This window comes from Homo sapiens, chromosome 6 (genome assembly GCF_000001405.40).
Source record: "Homo sapiens chromosome 6, GRCh38.p14 Primary Assembly".
NCBI classification, from domain to species: Eukaryota; Metazoa; Chordata; class Mammalia; order Primates; family Hominidae; genus Homo; species Homo sapiens.
This window is the reverse complement of record NC_000006.12, coordinates 116455680-116464083: the sequence shown is the minus strand read 5'-3', so window position 1 is coordinate 116464083 and position 8404 is coordinate 116455680. Positions and strand designations below refer to the sequence as shown.

General features: G+C 44.6%; 1 protein-coding gene, 1 long non-coding RNA gene and 1 pseudogene across 4 annotated transcripts, besides 3 other annotated features; 2 read left to right on the top strand and 1 right to left on the bottom strand.

The window, feature by feature from the left end:
• Nucleotides 1-312: 312 nt before the first annotated feature.
• On the bottom strand, nt 313-2709 carry CALHM6 (calcium homeostasis modulator family member 6). Of its 3 annotated transcripts, NM_001010919.3 has the most exons (3): nt 2655-2709; nt 1630-2212; nt 313-801 (listed from the first exon to the last, which is right to left on the bottom strand). In NM_001010919.3, the coding sequence occupies exons 2-3, from the start codon at nt 2152-2154 to the stop codon at nt 379-381; spliced, it is 948 nt and encodes a 315-aa protein (NP_001010919.1). In that variant the 5' UTR covers nt 2155-2212; nt 2655-2709; the 3' UTR covers nt 313-378. The 3 variants fall into 3 exon arrangements, with proteins under 3 accessions (NP_001010919.1, NP_001263389.1, XP_011534147.1); NM_001276460.2 differs by lacking the exon at nt 1630-2212; XM_011535845.4 differs by lacking the exon at nt 2655-2709 and having other exon boundaries at nt 1564-2226.
• Nucleotides 380-3606, top strand: CALHM6-AS1 (CALHM6 antisense RNA 1). Its single transcript, NR_174951.1, has 2 exons — nt 380-465; nt 2890-3606. It is a non-coding gene; the product is annotated as a CALHM6 antisense RNA 1 (long non-coding RNA).
• Nucleotides 1644-1723: a silencer, noted in NCBI's record as "silent region_17495". NCBI's record gives its function as "represses an Ori minimal core promoter by ATAC-STARR-seq in GM12878 lymphoblastoid cells {active_cell/tissue: GM12878}" and the evidence as "EXISTENCE:reporter gene assay evidence [ECO:0000049][PMID:35858748]".
• Nucleotides 2104-2183: an enhancer, noted in NCBI's record as "active region_24993". NCBI's record gives its function as "activates an Ori minimal core promoter by ATAC-STARR-seq in GM12878 lymphoblastoid cells {active_cell/tissue: GM12878}" and the evidence as "EXISTENCE:reporter gene assay evidence [ECO:0000049][PMID:35858748]".
• Nucleotides 2194-2303: an enhancer, noted in NCBI's record as "active region_24992". NCBI's record gives its function as "activates an Ori minimal core promoter by ATAC-STARR-seq in GM12878 lymphoblastoid cells {active_cell/tissue: GM12878}" and the evidence as "EXISTENCE:reporter gene assay evidence [ECO:0000049][PMID:35858748]".
• KRT18P22 (keratin 18 pseudogene 22) lies at nt 5429-6820 on the top strand (annotated as a pseudogene).

Here is an 8404-nt window from a genome sequence, read left to right as displayed (position 1 = left end):
CTAGAATGCCGTAATTTTAAAGTTCCTAACAAGATGTTGTGGGCAAGAAAATGAACTTGAAATTAACATCAGATAACCTAACAGAAATGTCTGAAGTTCAATTGTTCTGCCACTGTTTTTGCTCCAAAAGTCTTTTATTTGAAAAGGACTCTAGAACAAGGATATAAGACTTCTTTTAGTTCTAGCTTTTACTTTGGATGAATCACTTTCTTTTTTTGTTTGTTTTAAATAATATTATAAAGAGGTTAAGCTCTATATTTTAATTTCAGATATAAAATTCCACAATTTGGAAGAAAAAAAGCACTCAAAAAATACCAATGTTTATTTTTTAATAAAGCAATAATTCAAAACAATTTTTTTTTCTACTCATTCAAAAGGTCATAACTCAGGAGTGCTGTTTATACCAGATGAATCTACAAAGCCAAGAACAGGAATCACCGTATCTCCTTCAGTAGACCTGATACTGTGAGTCTTCTCTTTTCTGTTGACATATTTGTGCAACATGCTGTAGTACTGGCCCTTCGGATTGAAAGTATACAGTGATGAAATTTGCTGCCACTCTTTCATGCTTGGAGTGTTATATTCTTTTGGATGCGAGCCCTCAAAGAAACATTTAATATTCTCTTTTGCCAATTCAGTTGCATGCTCTGTGGCTTTACTTTTAAGGATCTGCTGCTCCTGTTCCAAATAGATTTTCCAGAATTTCAGCTGCAGAAAACTAACTGGAGATAGGCATCGGGTGACAGATGTAAAAATCAGAAGAATGATGATAACAACTGCTATCAAGATCCAGCCCAACACCTTAAGAAAACACAACAAAATAGTAATTTAGTTACTTGGTTTTTTACAAGAAATTTAAAAATCCTCAGATAAAGTTTCAACTACTCGCCAGTTATGATGATGAACAAGCAACAGTTTTAGGTCTTAATTCCTTAAGAGTAAGGTGTCGCAGTAACCTCCCTAGCCCCCCAGTACAACTTCTCGTTTGGAAAGTCAACTGTAGTCCAAGTTATGCACTATGATTCTGCCCAGGGAGGAGCCCATACCATTCCCTTAGAACTCAAAATGTGGAATTTCTGCAAATCCTGGGAAAGAAGTGTTCATTTTAAAGAACCTCTGAGCTTTCTAAGTCCAGTGGTGGCTTTAGAGCCAGACAAACCCATTTTATTCTATAGACCCCTTTAATTCTAACAATTCTGCTTTCTATTGGCTGGGCAAACAACTTTACTTAGACTCAGTGAAGTCACTATATAGGGGAGATACGAAACTATTACTTGTAATGGCAAAACCGCAATTTTGCACCCAACAGAGCTGTTGTGAGACGTAAAAATAATGCAGGAGGTCAAGGGCCTAGCGCAGTATCTGGCACTGAGTAGGCGTGCCCACTCTCACTCCCACTTTCCACGATTCATGTACAGTGCCAGATACTACGGGAATGCGTTTTTCTCCTTTTCATTCGTTTTATTCAGATATTCTCTTGACGGCAAATTAGATGCAAGGAGCCATTCTAGATTTTCTTAGGGTACTGTATATCTGGAGAAAAGTCACCGATTTTTCCCTCACCCCAGCGGCCCTGAGAAAGCTCGGCCTCTCGGCTCCTCCCAAACGCCCCCAGCGCCAGCGGCAGACCTGCGACTGAGCCTTCAGATCCTTCAGGAGGTCCTGCACGTCCGACGCCTTGGCCTGGTTGCACGGCACCAGCGGCAGCTCCGCGGCGCAGCTGCGGTTGCGGCCGAGGCACAGGCGCTGCGCGAAGGCCGCGCTCCCGGTGGCCGCGCACTCGTAAAAGGCGCCCCCGAGCAGCGCCACGGCCACCCAGGTGAGGGGCGCGAGCGCGGCGGCCGCGCTGATTTGCGTGCACACCAGGGAGCCGCGCAGCGCCGATCCGCAACTCGCGCGGGCGCTGGAGCAGCATCCGGTGAGCAGGCGCCACGTGCGTGCGCTCAGCACGTAGCCCAGGAGGAAGAGCGCGAGCGCCGGCACCAGCAAGAAGACCAGGCCGTAGGGCAGGTTCCAGGCGGCGCTGCACGGGCACTGGAATGCCACGGCGGAGAAGATGCGCTCCCCGCCCGCCGTCAGCAGGGTCACCAGGCCGTAGCCCAAGGCGCTGTGGTGCTTGACGTGCAGGTCCAGCACCGCCCGAAACTTCTCCATGAGCCTCGTCCCCCGGGGCGTCGCGCACAGGCCCAGATCCTTCTGCCTCTTCGTTGTCCTGCTTGTCAAATGGTTTTGGTGGGATGGGGACCGGGGCTTTCCACTCTGCGAGAAGCAGCCTTTTTTTTTTTTTTTTTAAAGGGAAGAGGGCTTCTCAGACCTTCCTAAAGTTTCACTTTCTCATTTCAGCCACACCACCTCTGGTTAACAGAACCAGGCAAGCAAACACCCCCAGGACCTTGACTTCTCTGGCACCCACCCCATTCCAAAGGCAGAGGCACCAGTTATCTTCCTCCCCCAATTCAGGAACTCTGACAGAAGGTTGACCTTGTTCCTTTATTACCACCAATCTGACAACGAACCAGGAAACTAACCTTCTTGACCCACGGCCGCCAGTTGGAAAAACTGGGAAATACCAGATTTTCCTCTATTGCAGCCACCCTAGTTACTAAGCCAGATCACAGTAAAACCAAATAATTATCAAAAAACTGATTACTTACGGGAAACATTATTCAAGGACAAATTTCTGGTTCCTCTTCCATAAGCTAAATCAGCAAAGTCCAGCTCAAGTTCTGGTACTTCTATGATGGGCGGCACCCTTTCCATCTCCCTACCGGACAGAGCCACCAGCCTAGTTCACACTGACTCTTCTCTCCTCTGCCTGATCTCCTTCAGGACATTAGACCAAATATACTGTATTGATTTACTCGTCAATACAATGTTCTTTTCTTTCAGATATGTCATAACACTGTCAATGCCTGGAGGAGAGTAAAATTCTGACTCTGACCACCAAGCTGATCTGCACAGAAGGGGATACATGATTATTCAAAGAATGCTAGTTGAACCCAAAATTTCAAACTGCAGCTACATCTATCTAATGTTGTTTCCTCCACCTTCAGTTTTCTCAAGCAGCGTTGTTCTGACACAAACACTGTAACCACTTTTGTGATATTGAGCCTTACTCTGTGTGACTCCAGACTGAGCTGAGGTGTGCTTGAAAGAACATGGGCTTTGAAGTCAAGTGCATCTTGTCTGTGGTGTGTTTAACAAGTATGCCCCTCTGAGACACAGCATCCTTATTTGTAAAAGAAGGATAATAGTGCCCACTTTTCAAGATTACTGACATGAGTAGATTGAGTAGCATATGTAAAGTGCCTTTACATATAGGATATGTCTGTTAAATGAATGATCAGTGTGAGAGTTTTCCCCTTAAAATGCAATTTGGGGAATAGACAACAAATAATTACATTGTACATAACCTAAGAATCTTGATGAATACTGAATTTTGAATTTTAAACGAGGATCAATTCAGTGGATAGTATTAAGTGACTCAATGACTCTGCTACCTTAAGAGAATTGGTGTACACCTTAGCTGTCTGCTTCACCACAAGGAGAGTATCTGGATATGGAGCTTGGGTGGGCAGTTCACAATGAAATGGTTCTTATTGGTGCCCATCCACCAGGCTTGCCTTATTTTATCTGGAAAGAATAGGTAGCCCATGGAACCAAGTGAATTTTTAGAGAATGGACAAGAAATGTATTATTCTTTTCTTAGTCCAACTTGCCTTCTTAACTACTCCCTCTCCAACACCACCAGCAGGGTGCCTAGCGTAGTGCCAAAAGCTGTCATTCCATAGTGATGTGGTAAATAGACATCTTTTTTCTATGTGTTTAGGGGCCAGCCCCAGATGAGGGTCTTCATGGTCATGCAGGAAAGTTGGGGCCCTCTTCTCTGAGATTAGACCAGATACTGCTAGGCTTCCTGTCAACTTGCAGCAAAGTTGCGTGTTTGAAGCGAATCACTTCTGCTCTGACTGTTATCTTTGTAATTTGTCATCTCCCAAGATAAATTTCTTCCCCTGTGCCTTGAGTAACTCTCCTCTTACTGCTGGACTCTTCTTCACCTCTACCATAATACTCTAAGATGTGTCCTCTCTCGTCCACCCTTTCCCATATTCCATCATGCAGAAACATCACTATATCCACAACCTTTGTGCAGATGGCTTTATCCAAATCTCCCCTAACCGAAACCTAATAAAAATGCATCCTTCTGTCTTCTTGAGTGAGATTAATTTATTCTCCCACATCTCTCAAACCAAGAGGGATGGCTGGCATTTTCCTGGTTACCTGCTGATAGCCATACCAGGGTTTTACCACTGTGCTATAATAGTTTATCATCCACTGAGGCTCAATCTAATCAGCACCATCTCCTCCTTCACCTCATTCCTATGGTCTGTTTTCATTCCCTTCATTTTTTAAGACTCTAATGAAGTCCATCACCTTCTCTTCCCTGGCTTCTGTTATTTAGTCAAGGATTTGTTTGAAATATGTTTACTTACAGAAACTTTTATCTATCAGCCCCCTTCCCCAACTAGATTAATTCATTTGTTAACCAGTTATTAATTAGTTCATTTGTTCATTCAGTCATTCATTTAAATGTTTAATAAGTACTCAGAATATGTCAAGTACCTATCAAAAGTGCCTGGTATTGCTGGATACAACAAGGAAGAAGACACAGGTATCCTGCCGTCTTTGAACTTACAGTAGAGATGATATAGGAAATGGAGAGGAGGGGTCCTAAAGATTACGCACAGGATAAATTGGAGTTAGAGAGTGTCCTGAAAGAGCCTCTGTGAGAAACTGACATTTAATCTGAATGAGTCTGGAGTACAAAGGAGCTTGGTTAGAAAGAAGGCTAGAGTGATGGGAGCATTGAGAATGACAGGCAAGTTGGCACATCATGAGGCCAAAGCTGCAAGTGGAAGGTCAGGTTTAGGTGCTTCACAGACCAGAATATGTAGTCTGCAATTCTGCCTCTGAAACTTTCACAGACTGAGCTGCATCCTGACATATTGTCTTGTCAGCTTGTGTCTCTAAACACCACCTCCTGGGTTTGCTACTTCTGTGCTCTCCCAAACCCAACTCTCCCAGATGCAATGATCATTCAGAACTTAGTACAGGTTTCTATAATTGAGAGTCCAGGTTTTGCCTGCCAGCCTGAATGTTTCCCCAGCACTTGGTCTTGAGTCTAGTACCCTGCCATCCACTCCCACCACCACTGGATTGACTGGTTCTAGCTCTGGGTCTATTGAAGATTCCCAGCCCTCCATACCCAGGTCTGTTCTGAGAGGATATTGCTCAGAAGTTCAGCCCTTAGTGGAAATTGACTAACACCCTAATGGTGTGGAGAGGTAGACTAAATAATATTTTAAATGTCTTTACACTTTTGAAAGCCTGTGATTTGCTTCAGCTGTTAAGAAATGAGTAGTAGAATGTCATCGGTAAAGCCTGAGTCCTGTCCTCTTGCTCTCCTCCCTGGACAGTATGAGCTTCACCACTTGCTCCACCTTCTCCACCAACTACCATTCCCTGGGCTCTGTCCAGACACCCAGCTTCATCGCCCAGCTGGTCAGCAGTGCAGCCAGTGTCTATGCAGGCACCCAGGACTCTGGTTCCCGGATCTCTGTGTCCCGCTCCACCAGCTTCTGGGGCGGCATGGGATCCGGGGGCCTGGCTGCAGGGATGGCCAGGGGTCTGGCAGGGATAGCAGGCATCCAGAATGAGAAGGAGACCATGCAAAGCCTGAACGACTGTCTGGCCTCCTACCTGGACAGAGTGAGGAGCCTGGAGACCGAGAACTGGAAGCTGGAGAGCAAAATCCGGGAGCACCTGGGGAAGAAGGGACCCCAGGCCAGAGACTGGAGCCATTACTTCATGACCATCAGGACCTGAGGGCTCAGATCTTCACAAATACTGTGGACAATGCCCGCATCGTTCTGCAAATCAATGCCTGTTTTGCTGCTGATGACTTCAGTGTCAAGTATGAGACAGAGCTGCCCATGTGCCAGTCTGTGGAGAGCGACATCCATGGGGTCCACAAGGTCATTGATGACACCAATGTCACTCGGCTGCAGCTGGAGACAGAGATCGAGGCTCTCAAAAAGCAGCTGCTCTTCATGAAGAACCATGAAGAGGAAGTAAAGGCCTACAAGCCCAGACTGCCAGCTCTGGGCTGACCGTGGAGGTAGATGCCCCCAAATCTCAGGACCTTGCCAAGATCATGGAAGACATCTGGGCCCAATATGACGAGCTGGCTCGGAAGAACTAAGAGGAGCTGGACAAGTACTGGTCTCAGCAGATTGAGGTGAGCACCACAGTGGCCACCACTCAGTCCACCGAGGTTGGAGCTGCTGAGATGACGCTCACAGAGCTGAGATGTACAATCCATTCCTTGGAGATCGACCTGGACTCCATGAGAAATCTGAAGGCCGCTTGGAAAGCAGCCTGAGGGAGGTGGAGGCCTGCTATGCCCTGCAGATGGAACAGCTCAATGGGATCCTGCTGCACCTGGAGTCAGAGCTGGCACAGACCCAGGCAGAGGGACAGCACTAGGCCCAGCAGTACGAGGCCCTGCTGGACATCAAAGTCAAGCTGGAGACTCAGATTGCCACCTACCAATGCCTGCTGGAAGATGGCGAGGACTTCAATCTTGGTGATGCCCTGGACAACAGCAACTCCATGCAAACCATCCAAAAGACACCACCCGCCCAATAGTGGATGGCGAAGTGGTGTCTGAGACCAATGACACCAAAGTTCTGAGACATTAAGCCAGCAGAAGTAGGGGACCCTTCGAGGAGCAGGAGGCCAATAAAAAGTTCAGAGGTCAAAAATAAAAAATAAAAAGAAATGAGTAGTAGAGTCTCACATTAAGCACAGTGTAAAGCCAATGGTTATGGGTTCCCTTTGGTTTCCTTTAACTGTAGTACTTTTTCAGCACTATCATTTTCAATGTCAGGAATGGGTTTCAGAAACCACAGAACATTTCTTGGAAAAGGAACTTCTTGAAAGGAAATGCACATACACACTGTGAATCTGAAAGTGTCTTGCAATTGTCTTCATGTGTGCTAGTTCTCAAACATTGTTCTCTGCGGCTCTCATAAGAATACAGACTAATGGCATGACCCTGCTTGGAATATGACTGCTGGATTCTTATACAACATTAATCTTGGCCCCAAGACCCTCCAAAAAGAGTAAAATCAAATTAATATTCAAATATCTTAGGTAACATATGCAAGAAGAAATGCCAGATGCCAAATTAAAAAGTTAGTTTACAAAATCTGACACTCCTAGTCTTAAAGGGAATATCTTTCTGAATGTTAAAATTTGTGGATATATTGCTCATGTTAGATAACATATTTGAAAATCTGGAACATGCTGTTGTCTTCAGATATTTTAAACGTTTATAAAAGTTTTTTCCAATGGAAGTGTAAAGCAGAAGGAGGGAAAGATCAGACCCTTTCCTTGGCACAGAGATGTCATTTGTTAAATGGCAATCCCATGACATTTCAAAAAAGCCTTTTAAAGATTTTTATTCCTCTCTTAGTGTGAATTTCCTAAGCCTATCACAAAAGTTTAAGTACTTATTGATTAACACACTAATTTTTGTTCTTGCAGCAGATAGTTATTTTAACTCTGTTAAAAGAAAAAACATAGCCAAATTAAATCTAACAGAGTTTAATTGAGCAAAGAATGATTCATGAATCTGGTAGCCTCTTGAGCCAGAGTAGGCTCAGAGAGAATCCCGTGGAAGATTTATAGACAGAAAAAGGAAAGTGACGTACAGAAAATGGAAGTGAGGTATAGAAACAGCCTGATTGGTTACAGCTTGGCATTTACCTTCTTTGAACACAGTTTGAACAGTTGACCCCCTTTGATTGGCCAAAACTTGTTGACTGGCACAACAGTAGGTTACAGTCTGCTTACATTACAGAGAAACCTTTAGGCTGAACTTAAGATACGTAAGGAGGCTGCTTTAGGATAAATTTGATTTAACAACTTAGAGAAACTAGATATGGCCAAGTCTTTGTTGACATCATCGTTGCTACCATTGTTGTTGTCACCGCCATCATCAATATCATCTGATACACTGAGGCTATTAAAGGTCCTAGTTAGTTTTCCTTCTGTGCTTTTTACGACCTATGTCTATTAGCAGTTTTGGTGAAACAATGTTTTCTCATTGTCTTAGTCTTTCAGTCTGCTATAACAAAATACCTTAGACTAGGTAATTTATAAACAAAAAATTATTTCTCACAGTACTGAAGGCTGAGAAGTCCAAGATCAAGATGCTAGCAGATTTGGTGTCTGCTAAGAGCCTATTCCTCATAGATGGCAACTTTCCTGTGTCTTCACATGGTGGAAGAGACAAGGCACCTCCCTTCAACCTCTTTTATAAGGGCACTAATCCCATTCA

What these genes read in the sequence shown, in the direction of transcription:
- CALHM6 (XM_011535845.4), bottom strand. Translation starts at nt 2,154, where the DNA reads ATGGAGAAGTTTCGGGCGGTGCTGGACCTGCACGTCAAGCACCACAGC. An exon ending in GCTTTCTCAGGGCCGCTGGG is followed by an intron (nt 802 to 1,563) that starts GTGAGGGAAAAA and finishes TGTTTTCTTAAG; the next exon opens with GTGTTGGGCTGGATCTTGAT.